The sequence below is a fragment of the Homo sapiens genome, chromosome 17 (assembly GCF_000001405.40).
Source record: "Homo sapiens chromosome 17, GRCh38.p14 Primary Assembly".
NCBI classification, from domain to species: domain Eukaryota; kingdom Metazoa; phylum Chordata; class Mammalia; order Primates; family Hominidae; genus Homo; species Homo sapiens.
In genome coordinates this window covers 29973299-29999159 of record NC_000017.11, presented here as the reverse complement: position 1 = coordinate 29999159, position 25861 = coordinate 29973299, and the positions used below count along the sequence as shown (strand labels likewise).

At 39.2% G+C, this 25861-nt stretch overlaps 1 protein-coding gene across 16 annotated transcripts in view; it reads right to left on the bottom strand.

Annotated features, from left to right (window-relative positions):
* EFCAB5 (EF-hand calcium binding domain 5) overlaps positions 1-25861 on the bottom strand; it is a 178550-nt gene that overhangs the window by 109293 nt on the left and 43396 nt on the right. For 8 of the 16 annotated variants that reach the window (XM_024450742.1, XM_011524759.2, XM_011524765.2 and 5 more), the window contains 2 exons: positions 5839-5995; positions 2800-2854 (listed from right to left, as the gene is read on the bottom strand). In XM_024450742.1, coding sequence (XP_024306510.1) covers positions 2800-2854; positions 5839-5995 — 212 coding nt within the window. Of the gene's footprint in view, positions 1-620; positions 733-2799; positions 2855-5838; positions 5996-11943; positions 11983-25861 lie in introns of those variants that run through there. The other 8 variants (NR_026738.2, XM_024450743.1, XM_047435947.1 and 5 more) reach the window with 3 other exon arrangements.

The following is a 25861-nucleotide window of genomic DNA, read 5'->3' as shown; positions in this document are numbered from 1 at the left end:
AGTCATGGACTTGAATAAGAAAACCCACAGAATGTGTATAGTGTGTATAGTGACAAGAAAGCCTAAAAGGAAACTCTGGAAAACAAAATTTAAGGTGCAAGCAAAAGAAGAGTCAAGAAACAAAAACACTAAAAGGTGACCAAAAATAGAAGAAAAAAATCAAGAGAATGATATCACAAAAACCAAGAAAAAAGAGTTTCATAAATTAGAGTGATCAGTAATGATGAATGTGACCGTTAGTTCAAATACAGATTTTTAAACCTTCATTTGATATGACAATTTATGTAATCCTTATTGACCTTACAAGAGAAAAATACATAAATTGTATGAAAGCTCATGATGAAAGAACTATACACTGGCTTCCTCTCCTACTTCTAATAGTAACTCTTCCTGCCTGTCATGGGTTGGCACAAGGGCATAGAAAAGATTTTTCAATCACTCTTGAATTTGGTAAGTGCTAATTATGAGATATCTGTTATTGTGGCCATAGGAAGGCTATATAAATTTTCATATAAACTTATGCATTAGATGCAGACATTTCCATCCCAGACCTTCCCCCAAGCTCCAGATGATTATGCAAACCAGACGTTTCTAGCAGTAACAGTTGCTATTAAGTATACCTGTCTGTCTGTCTCTGACTGGAGTTTGAGCAACTTAAGGGTAGGAAACATGTCTTGTCAGTCCTCTTTGCATTCTCTTACTCATTACAGTATCTGGAACTAAGTGAGGGCTCAATGAATATTGACCGAATGAATAGTACAGAAATAAATACTGTAGTATAGGAGGTGAGAGGAGAAACAATCACTGTCAGTTGGAATGCTCTGGAATTTCTGTAATTTTATCAGGATCCCAAATTGAGTTCTCTTAACTCACTCCTTCTGTACCCTCATTCAAAAATAAAGGAAGCTATTTCAATGATTTTTTGAAACAAGAGTAAAAGATGAGCTGACTGAAGAATTACGGTTTTTGGAAAATGTGAGAACAGGTAGAAGGACAAAAGGTTATCAGTAAGGCCCAAATCATGCTTGGAGATCAGTGATCAGGAAGACGGGAAGCATATTTTATTTTTAAAAGTGACAACAGACTTCAGACAATGTATTGTTGTCAATGTAACAAAAGTAGTCAAATAATCAATTGGAAAAAAATCTACTGGATATTAATTATGTAAATCTCAGGACCCAAACTCTAGTTCCTATGGGACAAGTGAGGTTTTTTTTTTTTTTCCACCTAATTTCATATAGGGAAATCTTTCTGAAAACAAAAGCACCAAAATCTGTGACTCTCCATAGGGGTGGTGCTGTCCTCCTTTCCTCCCAGGGAGCATGGTGGAAATTTTTGGGTGAATTTTTATTGCCACAGTGATGAGGAATAGGAGCAGAGGCAGAACACATGGAATTCTTGCACATAGACTTTCCCCCTTCTGCAGGACATTCAAGTAGATGAAAAACCTGATTATAATAATTTTGAACTTAGAACCCAACTCTATTTTACATATAAATGCAGAATATAATTTTGCTGTGGAATTTTCCAAGAATATAACTTATATGAAAATTTGAGGGAGAATTATACTTTGTTTAATTCTGGAACTTTACCAAGAGTTGTTCACCATTTCAGGACTTATGTAATAGGGAGTAATATAAATTGTATCTGAATTCTAATACAACACACCTGTGTCAGTCTGCATTTCTGGGAATTCTATATATATATATATATTCATTTTGCCCTATTCCAAAATGTCAAAAACAAATAAAATGGTCAACTGTATATAATTTTACTTCTCTTATATCTAAAGGTACATTATAAGTAGGTAGAAATGTCTGACTACTCTATTACGTCTTCTAGCGAAGTCGTAACAAAGCATTTATATATTGAAATACAGTGCATATAATTTTCTTTCTTTCTTTTTTTTTTTTTTTAGAAGGAGTCTCACTCTGTCACCCAGGCTGGAGTGCAGTGGCGTCACCTCGGCTCACTGCAACCTCCGCCTCCTGGGTTCAAGTGATTCTCCTGCCTCAGCCTCCCAAGTAACTGAGATTACGGACGCCCGCCACCATGCCCGGCTAATTTTTGTATTTTAGTAGAGACAGTCTTTCACTATGTTGGCCAGGCTGGTCTCAAACTCCTGACCTCAAATGATCCGCCCATCTCGGGCTCCCAAAGTGCTGGGATTACAGGCGTGAGCCACTGTGCCCGGCCTCTGAAGAAGTCTTAATCCTAGTATATATAGTAACAGAACTGGATGAGATTATCCAGGGAAATTTATGTAACATGAAAAGGGAACTCAAGAAACAACATTTGAGAAACAGAGAATGACCCCAGGAGGGTTATAGTGAAGGTGTAGGATATAAGACTGGGTAGAGTCAAGGAAATTCAAACTAAGGAATTTACGGAGGCAGTGTTCAACTCTGGTAAATATTAGCGTGAGCCACCATGCCTAGCCAGTGCATATAGTTTTCTTATGCCTTTACTTTTATTTCTCGTTTACATCACAGTTATGACATCATATCTTTCTTTTAAAATTCTATGTATGTAAGAAATATTTTCTAGGAATGTCATAGGATAATAAAAGAGTATTGCAGAGTACTGGTAATAAAATGGACACCAGACTAAAAGGATTGAGAATCACAGATTGCTTTTCTGCTTGTATACATTCTGTATCTGGACAGCATGGAAGAGCCTAATTGCCCCTGCAAGAGTTTTGAATAACATCTGTCTCATGTTGACTCTTCATCTGAATTCAGTGTCCCCCACCCAAAAAAGAAATAAAAATAAAAATATCAGAGTAATAGGCAGACTTACCAAGCTTGAAATCTGGATTTTGAAAGAATTCTTGAAGAACATTCTGAATCTGCAACTCAAAAGAGGAAAAAAAGAAAGAAACCATATGCCACTCCTCAGTTACCACATATTTGTTATTTTAGACTAAAAGCCATCTATAGTCTTTCTGTTTTAGTATTGGGTGATCTTTCCAACCCAAGGACAGAAATAGTAATAAGTCACATATACTTTCTACAAGGGGGTCTTCAAAAAGTTCATGGAAAATGTGTATTATGAAAAAAAATGCATGGATTTCAATTTTTTTTGCACCAAAATAAACTTGTCGTTAACTTGTTATGTCTGAACAAGATCTAGCTTGAAGAACTAAAAAGGATAAGACATCAGTTTGAAAAGAGCCCCTATTAGAGCAACATGAATTCTGCTAAAATTGAAGCAAAAACATTAAATTTATGGTGAAGCTTGGCGGGAAGAATGGTGAAATCACTGGTGTTTTATGAAGTGTTTATGGGGACAATGCTCCAAAGAAATCAGCAGTTTACAAATGGATAATTCATTTTAAGAAAGGATGAAATGATGTTGAAGATAAAGCCCATGGTGCAGACTATCCACACCAATTTGCAAGAAAAAAATCATCTTGCTCATGCCCTTATTGAACAGGACTAAAAATTAACAGCAGAAGCAATAGCCAACACATAGACATCTCAGTTGGCTCTGCTTACACAATTCTGACTGAAAAATTAAAGTTGAAAAAATTTCCAGTCAATGGGTGCCAAAACCATTGCACCCAGATCAGACGCAGACAAGAACAGAGCTTCAAATGGAAATTTTAAACAGTGGGATGAAGATCCCGAAGCATTTCTTCCAAGAATTGTACCAGGAGAGGAAACATGGCTTTACCAGTATGATCCTGAAGACAAAGCACAATCAAAGCAATGGTTGGTTACCAAGATGTGGAATTGGTCCTGTCAAAGCAAAAGCAGACTGATCAAGAGCAAAGGTCATGGCAACAGTTTTTGGGATGCTCAAGGCATTTTGCTTGTTAACTTTCTGGAAGACCAAAGAACAATAACATCTGTTTACTATAAGAGTGTTCTGAGAAACACTAGCTAAAGCTTTAGCAAAAAAACATCTGGGAAAGCTTCACCAGAGAGTCCTTCTCCACCATAACAATGCTCTTGCTCATTCTTCTCATCAAACAAGGGCAAGCTGGGCACAGTGGCACACACCTGTAGTCCCAGCTACTCAGGAGGCTAAGGTAGAAGAACTATGAGTTTGTGCCAGCCTGGACAAAATAGCAACACCCATCTCCACTAACAAAACAAGAACAATTTTGTGAGAGTTTCAATGAGAAATCATCAGGCATCCACCTTACAGTACTGATTTAACTCCTTCTGACTTTTTATTTTCTAATCTTAAAAAAATCATTAAAGGACACCTGTTTTTCGTCAGTTAATAATGCAAAAAATACTGCATTGAAATGGTTAAATTCCCAGGACCCTCAGTTCTTTAGGGATGGACTAAATGGCTGGTATCATCACTTACAAGTGTCTTAAACTTGATGGAGCCTCTTTTTATTTATTTGCCATTTAAAAAGTAATGGCAAAAACCACAATTACTTCTGCACCAAGATAGTATTTGAGACAGGGTTCCACCATGTTGGCCAGGCTGGTCTTGCACTCGTGGGCACAAGCGATCCTTCTGCCTCAGCCTCCCAAAGTGCTGGGATTACAGGCCTGAGCCATGGCGCCCAGCCTGATAGAGCTTATGTTGAGATATAAAGTTTATATTTTTATTATCTTTTAATTCAATTTTTCCACACACTTTTTGAAGTCTCCTCTTAGAATACTTAAGGGTATATAAAGTTATTTTACACATATATTCTCAATGATTCCCAACCTTTTTGTGTGATTAGGATTGGGATGCTGACAGTGACCCCATTTTGCCCTCTCCAGGGGACACTTCTAGCAACTCTCAGACACGGCATGATGGAGCTAAGGCACTTTTGGCAAGCACTTTGGCCATCCAAAGAATCCTCTATACTTTCTCATTCTTCAATTACTAAAAATGAAATATCCAAGTTCTTCTTAGTCCATTTTTAAAAACATTTTATTTTTTAGAGAAGTTTTAAGTGCACAGGAAAATTGAGCGGAAAGTACAAAGAGCTCCCCCACCGCGTGTGTGTGCACGTGTGATATATATATCACATATATATATATATATATATATATATATATATATATATATATATTTGTTGTTGTTGTTGTTGTTTTGTTTTTAAGAGACGTAGTCCCTCTCTGTTCCCCAGGCTGGAGTGCAGTGGCATGATCATGGCTCAGTGCAGCTTCGACCTCCTGGACTCAAGCAATCCTCCCACCTCAGCCACCCAAGAAGCTGGAACCACAGCCTGGATAATTTCTAAATTCTTCATAAAAGTAGGGTCTCCCTATATTGCCTAGGCTGGTCTCGAATTCCTGGCCTCAAGCAATCCTCCCACCTCGGCCTCCAAAAGTGCTGGGATTATAGGTGTGAGCCACCACACCCAACCAGATATGTCTTCTGCTAATATTTTCTCCCAGTCTGTGGCTTGTCTTCCTTGATCTATTTTTAATCATTCACTTTAAACTGAAAATATGCTTAGCATTGTATCTAATGAAAAAGTATTTCCAAATCCACATACACTTAAGAGAAAGCATTTAACTCTCAGAGTACAGTTGTTCTCTAGAGCTAAGAGATAGTCTTGCAGGTCTCACAGAAGTAGTCACACATACAAACACACACACAACAAACAAACAAATGAAATATATGTTGGTTTATAGTGATGAGTTTGGGAACCTCAGCCAGAGTCAAGATTTTAGAAATCTAGCTAGAATTTTTTTTTTTTTTTGGTAATGCTCAAAAGAAATTGAAGGAATCAACACTCACGGACCAGACAGGTCAAGACTTACCTCAGCAATACTGAAAATTTCAAGGGAGGCTTCTAGTATGCTACTCAGTATTCTAGCAATTGCCCTTTTACCACTTACCCCACCTACCTTTCACATATACCCCCAATTTTCTTACCACTGACTTAGGAATCATTCCTTTAGGGTCTAGAATCCATTCATCGAATTGCTCCTGCAGAGCCTGTTTCCGTGTGTTGGCCACCTTGACTATGATTTTGTCTATGCTTTCTCTTTGTTTTCTATTCTGTTTAACATTCTCCTTCATCTTGGATACTCTGCAGGATGTAGATATAGAAAACATGTTGAGTTAATACCCTTGGATTTGGTCCAGATTGGAACACAGGAATTCAGACTCTCTTTGAAAATGTTTGCCTGTCTTTTCTCCATAAAATCTTTGATTCAGGCCTGTAGTGAGCCCTTCTTCCACAAGCACTTATTGAATTTGGCATTAATCACAGAGTGCTTTCTACTATTTGACTTTTTATAGAGGTAGGCCTTATTTTACCCAACTAAATACTAGACTTAAGAAGTATTGGTAGGAATGTGAATTAGTACAACCATTGTGGAAAATGGTAGGGAGGTTCCTCAAAAAACTAAAAACAGAATTACTACATGATCCAGCAGTCTCACTTCTGGATATTTACCCAAAAGATCTGAAATCAGTTTGTCAAAGAGATGGCTGCACTTCCATGTTCACTGTGACACTATTCATAATAGCCAAGTGATAGAACCAACCTAAGTGTCCTCCAACAGACAAATGGATAGAAGAAATGTGGTTTATAATACAATGGAGGGGCCAGGCACAGTGGCTCATGCCTGTAATCCCAGCACTTTGGGAGGCCAAGGCAGGCGGATCACGAGGTCAGAAGATCAAGACCATCTTGGCTAACACGGCAAAACCCTGTCTCTACTAAAAATACAAAAATTAGCCGGGTGTGGTGGCATGCGCCTGTAGTCCCAGCTACTCGTAAGGCTGAGGCAGGAGAATGGTGTGAACCCAGGAGGTGGAGCTTGCAGTGAGCCAAGATCACGCCACTGCACTCCAGCCTGGGTGACAGAGTGAAACTCTGTCTCAAAAAATAAGTAATAAATAAATACAATGGAATACTATACAGCCTTTAAAAAGAAAGAAATTCTGTCATTTCTGACAGCGTGAATGGAATTGGAGAACATTATGCTAAGTGAAAAAAGCCAGGCACAGAAAGACAAATACCACAAGTTTTCACTTATTTGTGCAATATAAAACAAACAAGCACATAGAAGCAGAGAGTAGAATGGTGGTTACAGAGGCTGGGAATGGGGGAAATGGAGATATGATTGTCAAAGGGTATAAAATCTCATTTAGACAAGATGAATAAGTTTTAGTGTACATTTCAAAATTGCTGAGAGTAAATTTCAAATGTTCTCACCACAAAAAAATGATATGTATTTGAGGTGATAGATATGCTAATTTGTTTGATTTCATTATTTCACATTGTATTCACAAATTATAACATCACTTTGACCCTGCAAATGTATATAATTATAAGATATTGATTTACAACTTAAAAAACAGGTAGTAAAAATAGCTCTAGAAGCTGCTATATATACTGAAAAGGCAAGGTTGAATGCAATAAGGCCTTAGGGTAGTGAGCTTCTCTCTTCCCTGGACAGAGAAATCATCTGAAGGGATTGATTTCAGGTGTTGGGAACAGGCCCCCCAAATCTGGCCATAAACTGACCCCAAAACTGGCCATAAACAAAATCTCTGCAGCACTGTGACATGTTCGTGATGGCCATGATGCTCATGCTGAAGGTTGTGGGTTTACTGGACTGAGGGCAAGGAAACCTGGCCCACCCTGGGCAGAAAACCGCTTAAGGCATTCCTAAGCCACAAACAATAGCATGAGCGATCTGTGCCTTAAGGACATGTTCCTGCTGCAGATAACTAGCCAGGGAGCCCATCCCTTTGTTTCAGCCCATCCCTTTGTTTCCCATTTTAGTTAATCTATAATCTATAGAAACAATGTTTATCACTGGCTTGCTGTCAATAAATATGTGGGTAAAACTCTGTTCGAGGCTCTCAGCTCTGAAGGCTGTCAGCCCCCTGATTTCCCACTCCACACTCTATATTTCTGTGTGTGTGTCTTTAATTCCTCTAGTGCCACTGGGTTAGGGTCTCCATGACCGAGCTGGTCTCAGCAAATGGCGCCCATACATGGGGCTGGAACCTGGGTCGAAGGGTCACTGGAGTGACAGTCGGAGAATGTGGAACTAAGCTGGAGGACACCCGAGTACTCTTAAGCAGTCCCCGTGGTGAGTAAGAAGGGGAGCTCGGAAGCATCAGGGTAACAATGGGACAAGTTTGGGCCCTGGTTCATTCCACCTTGGAACCTTTTCACACTGATAATGAGGAGGAAGGAAAGTATGATGAAGTAACCGAAGAGGTGACAGAGCAGGTTTGTTTGCCAGCTAAATCTAAAGTGGCAAAGGAGGGAGAGGTTTGTCCCTACCCTTCTGCACCCCCTCATTATTTTGAAGAAAAAGAGTGGCCTGACCCTCCAGATCTTTCTTTTCTGGAGGACACTGGGCGAAAAGTAGTTGCCCCAGTGACTGTTCGAGCAGCACCTCGAGCGACTGCTCTCAGTTCTATTCAGGCAGGAATTCAGCAAGCTACAAGAGAGGGTGATTTAGAGGCCTGGCAGTTCTCTGTTAGGATACACCCACCAGATCAACAGGGAAATATTATAGCTACATTTGAGCCTTTTCCTTTTAAATTACTCAAAGAATTTAAACAAGCTATTAATCAATATGGACCAGGTTCTCTTTTTGTAATGAGACTGTTAAAGAATGTTGCTGTCTCCAGTCATTTGTTGCCAGTGGGGATGACAGGATTACTTCTAGGTAGATCTAGTTTAAATTTAAAAGGAGTGCAAGTACATACAGGAGTCATTGATTCAGATTACAATGGGGAAATTCAAATTGTTATATCTACTTTTGTTCCCTGGAAAGCAGAGCCAGGAGAGCATATAGCACAGCTCCTGATTGTGCCATATGTGGAAATGGGGAAAAATGAAATTAAATGAACAGGAGGATTTGGAAGCACAAATAAACAAGGCAAAGCAGCTTATAGGGTCAATCAAATTACTGATAAACATCCTATAACTATTCAGAGAAAGAAATTTAAAGGTTTGTTAGATACAGGAGCAGACATTTCAATCATTTATCTACAGCACTGGCCATCTGCATGGCCAATTCAACCCGCTCAATTTAACATAGTTGGAGTTGGTAAAGCCCCTGAAGTATATCAAAGTAGTTATATTTTGCATTGCGAAGGGCCCAATGGACAACTTGAGACTCTTCAACCAATTATAACTTCTGTACCTATAAATTGTGGGGGGAGAGATTTATTACCACAATGGGGAGCACAAGTTCTAATTCCAGAGCAATGATATAGTCCTCAAAGTCAACATATGATGCATGAAATCGGGTGTGTCCCTGGTGTAGGACTAGGAAAAAATTCGCAAGGTTTGTAGGAACTGCTTCAAGCAGAAAGACAAAGTTCCCGCCAAGGTTTAGGATATCATTTTTTATGGCAGCCATTGTTAAGCCTCCAGAACCTATACCTTTAAAATGGTTAACAGATAAGCCAATTTGGATAGAACAATGGCCACTAAGTAAAGAGAAACTGGAGGCTTTGGAGGACTTAGTTACTGAACAATTAGAAAAAGGACACATAGCTCCAAGATTTTCCCCTTGGAATTCTCCAGTTTTCATAATTAAGAAAAAATCAGGTAAATAGAGAATGTTAACTGACTTAAGAGCCATTAATTCAGTTATACAACCTATGGGGACATGGCAGCCAGGACTGTCTTCTCCTGCTATGATTCCAAAAAATTGGCCTTTAATAGTCATAGACTTAAAAGACTGTGTCTTTACTATTCCCTTAGCTGAGCTAGACTGTGAACAGTTTCCATTTACAATTCCTGTGGTAAACAACCTGCGGCCTGCTAAGTGTTTTCATTGGAAAGTGTTGCCACAAGGCATGTTAAACAGTCCAACAATTTGCCAGACGTATGTAGGTCAAGCAATTGAACCTACTCGTAAAAAATTTTCACAGTGTTACATTATTCATTATATGGATGATATACTTTGTGCTTGCCCCCACTCAAGAAATATTATTCCAATGTTATGATCACTTGCAAAACTCGATTTCTCACGCCAGTTTAATTATAGCTCCTGACAAAATTCAGACTTATTCCTACTTGGGGACCTTAGTAAATGACCCTACAATAGTGCCACAGAAAGTAACCATATGTAGGGATCAATTGAAAACATTAAATGACTTTCAAAAATTACTAGGGGACATTAATTGGATACGACCTGCTCTAGGCATTCCTACCTATGCCATACGTAATCTATTTTCTATCCTTAGAGGAGATTCTAGTCTCACTAACCCTCGGCAATTAACAAAGGAGGCTGAGGCAGAGTTGCAGCTGATTGAAAAGCAAGTGCATAAGACTCAAATAAATAGAATAGATCCAGAGAAGACTCTAGATTTGCTAATTTTTTTCAACTCAGCATTCACCTACTGGTGTTATTGTTCAAGAGCAAGATCTTGTAGAGTGACTTTTTCTTCCACATACTAATTCATGGACTCTAACTCCTTTTTTGGATCAAATTGCTACTATGATAGGAAATGGGAGAACTCAGATAGTTAAATTACATGGATATGATCCTGGAAAAATTATTGTCACTCTCACAAAGGCACAAATACAGCAAGCTTTTATAAATAGTCTTACTTGGAAAACCCATTTAACTGACTTTGTGAGTATTCTCGATAATCATTTTCCTAAAAACAAAACTGTTTCAATTTTTGAAATTAACTAATTGGATTCTCCCTAAAATAACTAAATTTAAACCAATTGAAGGTGCTGAGAATGTTTTTACAGATGGGTCTACTAATGGTAAAGCTTCTTATTCTGGCTCGAAGGGTAAAGTTTTCCAGACACCCTATACTTCAGCTCAAAAAGTGGAGCTTGTAGCTGTAACTGAGGTATTGACTGCTTTTAATATGCCTATTCATTTGACTTCTGATTCTTCATACATGGTTCATTCCACACAATTAATTGAAAATGCTCAGTTATGATTTCATACAGATGAACAACTGATGATTTTATTTACCCAATTGCAAACAGCAGTTAGGAGTAGAATGCACCCTTTTTACATCACTCACATTAGGGCTCATACACCTCTTCCAGGACCTTTAACTGAAGGGAATCAAATGGCTGATCACCTAGTTGCTACTGCAATACCTAATGCTAGACACTTTCACAATTTAACCCATGTTAAATTGAGCCTTTGGTCTCAAACACAGATACTTGCATTACCTGGAAAGAAGCTAAAGCCATTATCCAGCGATGCCCAACTTGCCAAATGGTGCATTCCTCATCTTTCACAGGAGGAGTTAATCCTCGAGGATTGGAACCTAATTCTCTTTGGCAAATGGATGTCACACATGTTCCCTCGTTTGGGAGACTAGCTTATGTACATGTATGTGTGGACACCTTTTCTCACTTCATCTGGGCTACATGCCAACAGGAGAGTCTTCTGCCCGTGTTAAACATCACCTTTTGCAGTGCTTTGTGGTATGGGCATTCCAGTTTCTATTAAAACAGACAATGCCCCAGTATATACTAGACAAGCTCTAGTTACATTTTTCTCTATATGGAATATTAAACACATTACTGATACCCCATATAATTCTCAAGGACAAGCCATAGTGGAAAGAATGAATCTCTCCCTGAAACACCAATTGCAAAAGCAGAGGGGGGAAAACAGGGATTATGGGACACCACATATGCAACTGAATCTAGCATTATTGACTGTAAATTTTTTTAGCCTGCCTAAAGACCAAATACTATCAGCAGCTGAACAGCATCTACAGAAACCAGCTGCAAAGACAGAAGCAGAACAACTGGTTTGGTGGAGAGATCTGATAATAAAAAGTTGGGAAATAGGTAAAATAATAACTTGGGGTAGAGGTTATGCTTGTATTTCTCCAGGATTGAATCAACAGCCAATTTGGGTGCGATCGAGACATCTAAAGCCTTACTAAGATCCAGATACCCAGGAAGAGGTTTTGGGAAGATCCCAAAGACCCACCGGTTGCAGACATATCAAGACTGACGCTGAGGAAGACTCCAACTGTCACAAGCAACACCTGTCGAACACAGCCACCTACCTGGGGACAGATCAAGAAGGTGTCACAGATGGTGGAAGAAAACCTGAGGAAAGTGGGATAATCAGTCACAATGAGTAATTTAATGATAGCTATGATAGTGGTGATCACCACTGCCATGAGTATTCCTTCAACAAGGGCTGACACAGAGAACAATTATACTTATTGGGCATATTTATCAATCTTGGCTGGCAATAATGCCTGGACGTAATCACTCTATGGCACAGTTACACATGCTTTCTGGTCTCAGTATTTATCAAAATGAATATACTCGGCCGGGCGCGGTGGCTCACGCCTGTAATCCCAGCACTTTGGGAGGCCGAGGCGGGCGGATCACGAGGTCAGGAGATCGAGACCATCCTGGCTAACACGGTGAAACCCTGTCTCTACTAAAAATACAAAAAATTAGCCGGGCGAGGTGGCGGGTGCCTATAGTCCCAGCTGCTCGGGAGGCTGAGGCAGGAGAATGGCGTGAACCCCAGGGGGCGGAGCCTGCAGTGAGCCGAGATTGCGCCACTGCACTCCAGCCTGGGCGACAGCGAGACTCCGTCTCAAAAAAAAAAAAAAAAAAAAAAAAAAAAATGAATATACTCCTATAATTGAGGCATACCACCCTCAAAAACCTATTTGTAAGCAGAATTGGACCTGGCCAGAAATAATGAATGTACTTGTTTGGGAAGATTGCACTGCAGAACAGGCAGAGAGGTGCTGCACAACGATTCCTATGGAATCATTATTGATTGGTCCCCTAAGGGGATGTTTACCTTGAATTTCACCTCTCAGTCTGCGTGCCATGGCCACACTATGTTCAGCTGGTCTAAACAAAATGGTCAGATGGTAGAAATGGTAAGAAGTATGGCAAGAGTTCCTATTATCTGGAAACATGGCCATATAGTGGCACCTCAACCTCAAATGATATGGCCCGCTGTAGGAGCTAAACATAAGGACTTGTGGAAACTATTCATGGCTCTTAATAAGATCAAAATTTGGGAAAGAATAAAAAACGTCTAGAAGGACACTCTACAAACTTGTCTTTGGATATTGCAAAATTAAAAGAACAAATATTTAAAGTATCCCAGACACACCTGACCTTAATGCCAGGAACTGGAGCGCTTGAAGGAGCTACAGATGGATTAGCAGCTATTAACCCATTAGACTGGATAAAAACACTTGGAAGCTCTGTGATTTCAATGATGATTGTGCTTTTAATCTGTATTGTTTGTCTTTGTATAGTCTGTAGATGCAGATCCTGACTACTGAAAGAAGTAGCTCACTGTGATAAAGCCGCCTTTGCTTTTATCGTCTTGCAAAAACAAAAATGGGGAACATGTTGGGAACAGGACCCCAAATCTGGCCATAAACTGACCCCAAAACTGGCCATAAACAAAATCTCTGCAGCACTGTGACATGTTCCTGATGGCCATGATCCCCATGCTGAAGGTTGTGAGTTTACCGGAAAGAGGGCAAGGAACACCTGGCTCACTCAGGGTGGAAAACCACCTAAGGCGTTCCTAAGCCACAAACAATAGCATAAGCGATCTGTGCCTTAAGGACATGTTCCTGCTGCAGATAACTAGCCAGAGTCCATCCCTTTGTTTCAGCCCATCCCTTTGTTTCCCATTTTAGTTAACCTACAATCCATAGAAACAATGCTTATCACTGGCTTGCTGTCAGTAAATATGTGGGTAAAACTCTGTTCCAGGCTCTCGGCTCTGAAGGCTGTCAGCCCTTATTTCCCACTCCACACTTTATTTCTGTGTGTGTGTCTTTAATTCCTCTAGTGCCACTGGGTTAGGGTCTCCATGACTGAGCTGGTCTCAGCATTCATGTCTAGGGTGGAAGCCTAGAAGATGCATTTATAACAAGCATCTCAGGTCATTCTGATGCCTTGGATCAAACTTCTGAGAAATCTGTCTAGGGGTATATCTCAGCTAATTGCCTTTATCTAGCCAAAGTCTCATGCTTTGCCAGCCACTGCTGAAGTGCTGAGCATAAGAGTTACCCTTGCAGCCAGAACTGCATCACCCAGGTTGAGAATGGGGGAAAAACTGTGCTTTTAATTGTACCTATGTGCATCACTCCTATTAGGACTCCAAAAACCCCAAACTGGTTTTGATTGAAATCAAATAGAATGGCTCAGAATAATAAAAATAGTCGCTGGTTTCAAGTACAATTTTTTCCCAACAATGTTGGAGGCAAGTCTTCATCTTTCAAAGAAGAAAGACTAAGACAATCTGACATATTTTAAAATGCAAAAAGATTTTCAGTGGGAACTGGTAAATTGGATACATCTGATGAACCAAAGAAACTACTAAAATCTAAGTCATTACCTTATGCCTATATAAGGCCTTCAAAATTCTCTAGAAAAACAAGTGTTCAAAAATGAACTTTGAAGTTTGAAAATAAAAGCAGACAAGCAGTTTAATAGTACAGAAGGGGCTGGGTCTGAACTGCTGGAAGATTAATAAGTATTTTATTTTTATTTATTTATTTATTGTTTTGAGATGGAGTTTCGCTCTTGTTGCCCAGGCTGGAGTGCAGTGGCACAATCTTGGCTCACTGCAACCTCTGCCTTCCAGTTTCAAGCAATTCTCCTGCCTCAGCCTCCCAAGTAGCTGGGATTACAGGTGCCCACTACCAGTCTGGCTAATTTTTTATATTTTTAGTAGAGACAGAGTTTCACCAAGTTGGCCAGGCTGGTCTCAATCTCCTGACCTCGTGATCCGCTCACCTCGGCCTCCCAAAGTGCTGGGATTACAGGTGTAAGCCACCACGCCTGGCCTTAATGAGTATTTTAAAGGAGTGCTAAGTTTCTCTGATGCAATTGCTAACCAACCAAATCTCTACCAGTCAGCTCTACCGGTCAGCTACCAAAGTTCTGAGAGCTTGTCTGCTTGTCTTCTTCTGCTTCTTCTGCTTGTCTCCCCTTCTGCTATTTATCTGTTTCATCCTCTGCTGCTTTTTCCTTTCCCCCTCATCTCTAGCTAGGATTCTTCTCAATTTCTGTTTTCATTCCTCTGTGGCTCTGTCTTCTGTATCTGTGTTTTTCACCCAGCTCTTTTGCATTATTCATTCATACACTCACTCACTAAACCACTCACTCACTCATTCATTATATAAATATTTATTCGGCACCTACTATGGATTCTGCCATTATAAAGCTTAGGGTCCAATGGCAGAACAGATAAGTAAACGAATTTTAGGGTAAGTACTAAGTGTCTCCAGATTCTCATGTGACACAAAAATGAATACACAAAATTGGTTTTCTGTCATTTTCCCATCTGCTTGAAATATTTTTCTCCCTCTCTTTGCCTGACTAGATCCTCCACATGCTTTAGGTCTCACCTCAGACATCATTTCCTCCCATTTATTGATGTCCATATCTAGAAACAAAATCTACTTTTGTGCTTCTGGGCCACTGTACATGAGACTCAAAATATAATCCAAATGGATTTTAAATTGATTGTGTCACCCATTCAGGGAATTAATAAAATTTGTCTTCTGTAGCCTGCATTATCTCATGAAGATGTTTACTTTACATTAATCCAGAGAATTCTAAAGCATCCAAAACTCTTAATTTGGGCAGTACAGGGTAGACATAACCTATAAGCAGATTCATTCTAAGTGTAAGGGGACTGGAAGGGAAGAAAAACTACATTATGGAAAAATTGCAAAAATAGTCATAAATTCTTCCCATTCCTATATGCATGTCTCTATGAATGCAACATAACTTTGCAGCTCCTCCCATGAAGAAGTGGAGTCTGTTCCTGTACTCCTTGTCTGCTTCTGGCCATGTGACATGCTTTGGCCAATGGGCCATTAGAAAACAGAATGTAAGCAGAAAGTTGAAAAGTACTTGAACACTGGGGCTTGCCCTCTTTTATTGAACTTGGGAGCCCTTCCACTACAATACCATCATGGAAATGAGCATGGGCTCGCCTGCTGGATGATGATCCAGTTACTTCCATTGCTTTTGCAAAGAGACTGCCAACCACTACAAAAGTGATTGAGGTCATCACTTTTGGTTGTTATTCTGAAAGTAAAGGGATATCATTGAAAGGTTTCATCTTACTGCATCTCATGAGTGAGTCTAATTGATACCATGTGGAACAGAGATGGGCCATGAGCCCAGCTCAAAGTTACCAATCTACAAAATCATGAGCAAATAAATTCTATTGCTTTAAGCCATGAAGTTTTGGAGTATTTTGTTATGCAGCAAAAGCTAACTAAGAAAAGAGTTTTCCTATATGAATGAGTGTTTCGAGACCTTTTAAAGAAAAGCATAATATAAATCTGATTAAAGAGTAGAAGTAAAAATGCTTCCCCACCTAGTTGTGACAATCCAAATTCTATCCATCAATTCAAGCTGTATAAGGAAAATCTTCTATTTACAGAAACATTTGCCTAGATTATATCAAAAGTGAAAGTTGTATTACATCAAAATTGGTTCTAATCAGCTTAAGTGGATAATTGACCATGAACTTTGAGTGACCTCAGTATACCAGATCATTGCTATACGTAACTGAAGACCCTTTCTTGACCACTAAAAACTGGGACTTGTTTTAATCAATCATGTACAGATCTATGGACTCACTCTGTCCTATACAATGTGATAAGTTTTTAGTTCTTATAAGTATAGCTATTATAAAACAATTAAAAGCCCCTGAATTTCCCCCTTCCACATACCATTCAGTGAAGTCTTCACTGGTGTATATTCCTTTGCCTGGCAAGTTAATAAACTCAGTGTTTGTTTGTTTGAAGGTGTTTTTAAGCTCTGGTGGTCTTAGTTTCACAAAGCTAAACTGAATTTCTTTCTTTCTTTTTTTTTTGAGACAGTCTTGCTCTGTCACCTAGGCTGGAATGCAGTGGTGCTTGGCTCACTGCAACCTCCACCTCCCAGGTTCAAGCGATTCTTCTGCCTCAGCCTCCCGGCTAATTTTTTGTATTTTTAGTAGAGATGGGGTTTCACTATGTTAGCCAGGATGGCGTCGATCTCCTGACCTTGTGATCCATCCGCCTCGGCCTCCCAGAGTGCTGGGATTACAGGCATGAGCCACCGTGCCCAGCCGCTAAACTGAATTTCTTGCCATTCCTGGAGTATGTCCATATTAGTCCCATGATGAGTATTCCTATTAAAAATCCATATATGAAATATATGCCTACTTACTTCTTATACTTACTTATTTTCTCTTTGCTTATTCAATTTATATCTTACTACATAAATGAGGATGCTGATATAATTTAATGATTTAAGAAAAATCTAAGTAATTAATCAATAATATTTAAGCAGATGAATAATTAGGCCTCTTCAGAATTTTATAAAATGATAAAGAACATTTATCATAGCATCCTCATTAAATAGTGATGATTAATTCCAGATATTTCAAAGTTAAAAATTCAATTACTCTAAATTAAGGGATGTGTGAAAATGAGGTGACTCTCCCATAGTTATTGAGCTTTAAGACATATCTCATAATAATCTTATGTATCTAAAAACCAAAAAGCAAAAATAAAATAAAAACAGAAGAAAACTTTCATCATTAAGGCAGACTGGAATAGGTTAATTAACAAACATTTATTGAGCATTACTCATAAGACACAGTGTTAGATGCTGAGGATTCAGTGGTGACTATGACAGACATAGTTCCTGCTTATATTGTAGCAGAGGAAACCACCATCACAACTGTGATAAGTGCAATGAAGGAGAAACACAGGATGCTATGAGAGCACATAAGGGAAGATCCCAACCCAATTTCATGATGAAATGGTGTCTGAGCCTGAACTCTAAAGGATGGGTAGGATTAAGTAAAGAGGAAGAAAGTAGTATAGGCAGAGGGAATGGCATATGTGAAGACCCTGAGGTAGGGAGAAGCACAGTATGTTTAAGAACGAAAGAAATCCTCTGTGCCTGGAGTATAGTGTGGGGAGAGAGGCAGGAGCCAAGCTTGGAAAAGCAGGCAAGGACAAGGTCATCCAAAGAAGGTCTCATAGGCTTAGTTAAGAATTTTGTTCTTTATTCTGAGGGTAAAAGGGTACCACTGAAAGGGTTCACATTGGGGAACAACATGGTAATATTAGCCTTTAAAAAAATCACTTTAGTTATGGATGAAGAATAGATTGGAAGAAGGCAACTGGATGTAAACATACCAATTAGGAAACTATTGCAATAGTGGAGGCAAGAGATAATGGTAGCTCAGACTAGGATGAAAGCAGTGGGGGATGGTCAGAAATGAACAAATTTAAGAAAAGAAGGTGAAATCACCAGGACTTAATGACTGACTAGAAATGAACAGTGAGAGATCATCAGAAGGTGTCCAGGTTGATTTGCTAGTTTTTGGCTTGAGGACAATGACTTCTTGAAACTGAGGTGCTTATGAAACATACAAGTACAGATATTGAATAAATAGTTGGATGTACTGGGATAGAGCTCAAAGAAGGTGTTTGAACCAAAGATATAAATCTAAAAGTCATGAATGTATAGATGGTAACTTAAGTCATGTTGGAATGTGAGCACTCAGGGATGGAATATAGAGTGACAGGTTAAAGAACTTTAATATTTGAAGATCAAGTAGCAGAGAATGAGCCAGAAAAGGACACTGAGAAGGACTAAATAGAGAAACAGAAGGAAAGTTAGACAAGTATGATATCATGGAAGAGGAGGGAAAAAGTATTTCAAGATGGAAATAATGCTAAGAGGTCAAGTAAGATAAAAATGGCAAACTTTCTACTGGGCCTAGAAGCATGGAAAACATTGTGGTTTTGGCAAGTGCCATTTATTAGAGAAAGCCTGGCACAAAAGCCAGAAGTAACAGGTTAAAAAATGTGTGGGAAGTGGGGAGAGTGTATACGGACAACTGCTTTTGATAAAACTGGCTGTTTTAGTTATATTTCCTCAAATAGACTGTATAAGTTCTTCATGACAAAAATCAAATTTTGTATTTTTTCCCTATAAGGTATAGCTCACCACTGAGAACTCAGTAGTTATGCAATAAATACTAATTGACTGAGTAAAGGTTCCTCAGTAAGTTTAAGTTTTGTTTGTTTGTTTTTGAGACGGAGTTTCACTGTTGTTGCCCAGGCTGGAGTGCAATGGCCTGATCTCAGCTCACTGCAACCTCCGCCTCCCGGGGTCAAGCAATTCTCCTGCCTCAGCCTCCTGAGTAGTTGGGATTACAGGCATGCACCACCATGCCCAGCTAATTTTGTATTTTTAGTAGAGATGGGGGTTTCACCATGTTGGTCAGGCTGCTCTCGAACTCCTGACCTCGGGTGATCCACCTGCCTCAGCCTCCTAAAGTGGTGGGATTACAGGCATGAGCCACCGTGGCCGGCTAGTAAGTTTAAGTTATTAATTAATTCATCTAACATTTATTGAGCCCCAGCTCATGCCAGGCATTGTGCTCAGTTTCAAATATAGGTATAATAGAAGATAGCCCTTGTCTTCAAAGGGATTATGGGAAGGTAAATAACAATTACATTACAGTGTGCTAAGGGGGCTGACATGAGCCTACAGGTGTTTCAGAAATGTAAGAAATATATAGAAAAAGTACTTAATCCAGACCAACTGTGACAAAAGTGGTGCTATAGCTGACTACTGAAGGACAAGGAGAACTTAGCCAGCTAAAGAAACAAAGGGAGGGATGTTTTAGACAGAGAAAGCTGGCACTCTGGATTCCCAAAGAGGACACTTGGCTGGTGGTTTTGATTAGTTAATATGTATGGTAGTAAAACTGTTATGCATAAATAATGCAGCCTATCTGGCCAGGATGGACTAAATCAGGGCTTAGTGGTCATTGTGACTATATGCTGGGTAGCTCAGATAGAATGCCTCCAAGCTTTACAGCTGGCCTCAATGGTGAGGATTTCCTTTTTTTTTTGAAATGGAATCTCACTCTCTCACTCAGGCTGGAGTGCAATGGTGTGGTCTCAGCTCACTGCAACCTCCGCCTCCCATGTTCAAGCAATTCTCCCACTCTCGAGTAGCTGGGACTACAGGTGTGTGCCACCACACCTGGCTAAATTTTGTATTTTTAGTAGAGACAGGGTTTCACGATGTTGGCCAGGCTGGTCTTGAACTCCTGACCTCGTGATCCACCCACCTCGGCCTCCCAAAGTGCTGAGATTACAGGCGTGAGCCACCGTGCCCAGCCAGGATTTCCTATTTCTAAATGAGGTGAGTTGAGTTCCAATTGAGCCACCTTTTTGGAAAAGCAAGAGCAGGGCAGAGGCCAACAGAGTAAGCATACTCCCCACTCCCCCCATCCCCCCTGCCCCAGGGAAGCTGGGAAGCATGTTTCGATGGTGAAAGACTGAGTTAGCACAGAGGATGTAAAAACCAAAGCAATTGCATATAAGGTCTTCAGCCATTAGAAGGCCACAACCTACTCTATGAACAGACAAATTATCTTCTTTTGAGGCTGTCACTGGATACTTTTAAATGAATCAATGGAATTATACGGAAAATCCTAAAAATTTCTGGACATTCTCAATAGTCTTAGGAGTTTCTACTTCAGGACAACCACACCTTGTCAGGCATTTTACCAGATACCCAGCCCTAGCTGGAGAGAAGTTGACTCAGGGACTCTACCTCAGTCTCTAACATTAGGAACATTCTATATCATTGAAGCAAACCAGAGACTCATTTAATATCAAGTTGCAGGGTAGGGTGTAGAATACAAGGATGTCATCCAGGGAGACCATGATCTTGCAGTCCATAAGTGGTTGAATTTCTTAAGTATTTAATAATGGGATATATACATACTCAACAGAGTAAGGTTTAGAGATGGACATGAAACTAGTCAGTGTACATAAATTATCATTATGCTTCAGGTTGAACAAGAGTAGAACCTGTTTGGATAAAGTCCTACCACAATTCCATTGGATGTAACAGTCATTTGAATACTACAAAAATATTTTCCTTGTCCATTCACTCACATCACTCATAATCTGTTTTACTGGCTTGACAAAATTTGATATTCAGTATAAATCAACAAGATGATTAATATTACTAATATCACCTGTGCAGAAGCACCTGTGGGTTTTCCTAGCATAATATAAGCACATGGCTCAGTAAATGGGTGGCAGCTGGTGTAGAATATGAGCAGACAGCTGTCTAGGAAGCCACTGTCTCCTGGCAACTCAGGAAGACCCATATCAAGGATGAAACATTCCCTCTGTCTTGCCAAATCCTACTGCTGGCATCTTGTAAGGATGAGTAAGATATTTTGAAGCTTTTTTTAAAAAAAATACAAAAAGTACTTTGAAGCAGATTTCAGAACTCTGCAAATAACACATTCCAATAGAAACACACACAATAGATTTTTGTCACATAGTTTACATAAATTCTTTGAACACTACACGACTTAATATGCAAGAAATTAATAAAATAAAGGCCTGTGTCCCTCGCTTCTTGAAATTTTACTTGGTTTGTGTATCCTTAAGGCTTGAATATTTATACTAACTTGGTCTTCTCTTGTATGTAGCTGTGGTAGAGAAAGTAATTCTTTGAAATACCTCTTTGTGTTTCTCTCTCTTTATGGATTAAATGTTCCATCATTAATGCATAAAGCTAATAAAGAGGAGTCACAGGAAAAATGCCCAAAAGATATCTCAAACTGCAACACAGACCCCATAGTGAATATGCAATTATCAGAGATCACTACCAAGGCAGAACTGGGTATGCATTATACAGGAAAAGATACAAGCTTCTGTTTGGGGTCTCTTAGATCTACTTTCCGGTTCATTTGAACTCATTCTAGGTTATTATGGTTCAAGACTAGTTGAGAAAAGAGAGGAAATTTGTAGTAAAGTAGAATAGTCTGAAATTCTAACATTAACAGTTTTCTTTTTTTACTGCTTAAAAGTTTTATATTTTAAAAAATATCATACAGTAAAATTTACCTTCTTTGGCACATAGTTTTATGAATTTTAACATATATGAGTATGTGTAACCACCATCATAATTAGGCTATTGAAAGTTTGTAATCCTATTTTAGGAGCAAATATTTTTCATTATCAATTCATAATAAGGTGGTAATGACCTTCAAATATGCAATCCCAAACACTGGAGAAATCAAGAGTCAGAGGGAAAAGATACTTTTTACAAAGCATACTAAAAGAAAAGAAAATATGAAGAAAAGTGAATGATACAAACTTAACCTACTTTACAGTTGTCCAAAATTGCACGTAAGAATTAAAGTCCACTTTAATTCTATATCTATGTCTTTCAAGAGCCCCAATGAAAAGTAGTAAATTACATTGCACATATAAAACCTACAAACAGCAGTGATACTGTATTTTTCAGATATAGTGGCTACCACTATAAAAATTGTTCCAAATAAGTAAGCAGTGTCTTCTCTATCTGTTGTTTTTAGAGACCTAACAGAGATGAATCCCTTTTGTCGTAGAAAGTAGGCAGACAAAAGCTTTTTGGATCAAGCTGAAGCAAATGAACACTTAAACATTACCACAAGAAGATAGAGTCTCATTAAAACAAATACATTTTCTTTTGACTTTTTTTCTTGGCTATAATTCAGGAAAATTTCATTCCTAAAGTGAATGGACTTTTCTAAGGCTTTGCAATGGATTGAAGGTAACACAAACAATGGTATAGTTCTGAGAATTTCAAAGCAGGACTGTTTTTACTAATATTGCTGGGTATATAAGCTTTAAGTCGATAGGGATTAGGAGCAGAACACACTGTTGTAAAACATCCTTAGGATTTCTGAATATTCTACAAATGCCTGACACTGTCATCTGTTGACATACAGATCTTGGATTTCTGCCAGAAAAAGATGAAGCCCCAATTCTAACAATCCAGGTAAACAAAGCAACTTTGATTATTTCATGAAATTCCTGCTCCAATAGAGCAACCTTTAACTAAAACTTTTACCAAGCCTCAAATGACCCTAAGAAGTCAAACTCCCAGTTCAAGAAATATCAGTGAAACAACCTAATTCTCCTGTGTCATGGAACCCAATGTCCTAGTGTGCTTATTACTATCTTATTATAGACATTAATAAATGTCTAGAGTTTTACATACCCATTGAGATTTACATATCTGTAACAAGAGGAAGTGTTTGTCAATATATTTGTTTACAGACAAAATCAGTTCACAGATTGTAAGTATTTTTAGTGGAAATAGATCTAAATACAGTCTAATTTATTGCACTGCAAGAACAGATGGTGAGCAGAAATGTTCCTTAAGGTATTTATTAAATTTAATGAAACTGCTTCCTGCATACTACTGGAAGTTTTCACTAGTACTAAACCTCTCTTAATTTGTTTTCTTTTTAATTTGGTCTTGAAACTTTAGTGTGCAATAATAACCTCTTATGGAACTTGTTTTAAATGCATTCCTAGAGGTTCTGATTCAGAAGATCTGAGGAAGGATCTAGGAATCTGCACTTTTAACCAAGCACCCCAGGTGATTCTGGTGTCACTGATAGACAACCATGATCTTAGAAAGCCTGTTTCAACTGAAAATAAAAATTTCATAACCACACATAAAACAAGAGTTCTGCACATATCTCTTACTTTATCCCAGAGGGATATCTGTGCCTAATTCCAAAAGAATTACTATTCTAAAGCTTCTAATTAGTTGTTTACCCTATAGGAAAGACACTAAAACAAGTCAAAAGAAATTATAAATTTGAGTGTAGGTGGGCCAGGTGTGGTGGCTCACGCCTGTAATTCCAGCACTTTGGGAGGCCGAGGTGGGTAGATCACCTGAGGTCAGGAGTTCGAGACCAGCCTGGCCAACATGGTGAAACCCCATCTCTACTTAAAATACAAAAAATTAGCTGGGCATGGTGGTACGCACCTGTAATCCCAGCTACTCGGGAGGCTGAGGCAGGAGAATCGCTGCCGGGAGGCGGAGGTTGCAGTGAGCTGAGATTGTGCCATTGCACTCCTGACTGGGGAACCAGAGTGAGATTTCGTCTCAAAAAAAAAAAAAATTAGTGTAGGTCTGTATGTCAGAAGATATTAAAAGGAAAAGTGTATCACTTTTGTTTTAGACCTGGAAGAGACCTAATAGATACCATTTAGACAAAAGGTCAGCAAATTACAACCTGGGGGCTAAATCTGGCCCACTGACTGGTTTTGTATGGCTCAAAAGCTGAGGGGTTGTTATATTTTTAGTTTTGTATTTTAAAATTTTATTATTTTATTTATTTATTTATTTATTTATTTTAGAGATAGGGTCTCATTGTGTTGCCCAAGCTGGTCTTGAACTCGTGGCCTCAAGTAATCCTCCTGCCCTCACCTTCTCAAAGTGCTGGGATTACAGGTGTGAGCCATTGTGTTCAGCCTAAATCATTTTTTAAAATCAAAAGATGAATAATATTTTGTGCCATGTGAAGATTATATGAAATTCAAATTTCAGTATCCACTAATAAAGTTTCATTGGAACACAGCCATGCTCTCTCATTTACATATATGCTATGACTGCTTTTGCACTACAGCAGCAGAACTGAGAAGTTGTGACTCAATTTACCTGGCAAAACGCTTTCATTTTTTATGTAATGAAATTTTCCAAAATTTTCATGATCTTGAGTCATGGTTAAAAAGGATTATCTCCAGCATAAAGGGATTTAATCCCTGTTTTTTTCTAGTTTTTTGCATGGCTCTATTTTTTACATATATATACCTAGTGAGACATATTCTTTTTTTTTTTTTGAGACAGGGTCTTGCTCTGTCACCCAAGATAGAGTGCAGTGGCATGACCCAGCTCACTGCAGTCTTGATCTCCCAGGCTCAAGTGATCCTCCCACCTCAGCCTCTGGAGTAACTGGCAGTAGTAGGCATGTGCCACCAAGCCAAGATAATTTTTTTATTATTATTTGTAGAGACGGGGTCTTGCTATGTTGCCCAGGCTGGTCTCGAACTCCTGGGCTCAAGAGATCCCTCCCAAAGTGCTGGAATTACAGGTGTGAGTCACTGCACCTGGCAAGGATATATTCTAAGGACAAAAAAGCTGCAAATAAATGTAAAGCCTTGTTTAATATTTTTATTATTAGTAAGCTTGTTGGTATTATTATTTTGAAGCTTTTTTTTTTTTTTTAGATAGAGTTTCACTCTGTCACACAGGCTGGAGTGCAGGTGGCACAATCTCAGCTCACTGCAACCTCTGCCTTCCAGGTTCAAGCAATTCTCCTGCCTCAGCCTCCCGAGCAGCTGGGATTACAGGCACACACCACCACACTCAGTTAATTTTTGTATTTTTAGTAAGACAGGGTTTCACCATGTTGGCCAGGGAGGTCTCGAACTCCTGACCTCAGGTGATTCACCCATCTTGACCTCCCAAAGTCCTGGGATTACAGGCTTGAGCCACCGCGCTGGGCCATTTTGAAGCTTTTATGTAAACTGTAGGATAAAACAAATCAGTAATTATGTCAATGTCATTAGGAACCAAGATTTTCTATGTAAGATAAAAGGAAATACAGGCCAGGCGCGGTGGCTCACGCCTGTAATCCCAGCACTTTGGGAGGCCGAGGCGGGTGGATCACGAGGTCAGGGGTTCAAGATCAGCCTGGCCAATATGGTGAAACCCTGTCTCTACGAAAAATACAAAAATTAGCAGGGTGTAGTGGCGGGTGCCTGTAATCCCAGCTACTCAGGAGGCTGAGGCAGAGAATTTCTTGAACCCAGAGGCAGAGGTTGCAGTGAGCCAAGATCCCGCCACTGCACTCCGGCCTGGGTGACAGAGCAAGTCTCTGTCTCAAAAAAAAAAAAAAAAAGGAAAAAGGAAATATAAATGTCAAAGAAATTAGATAAAGACCTGAAACATTAATATGCAACTGTCAATATTAACTCATTTTTTAAATTACATATTTCTTTTCTCAGCACAGCGAATTTTAATGTCTCCCTTTTGCGGGAGGAGAGGTTGCCTTACCCACTTTTGAAGACACCCCAAAGGTTG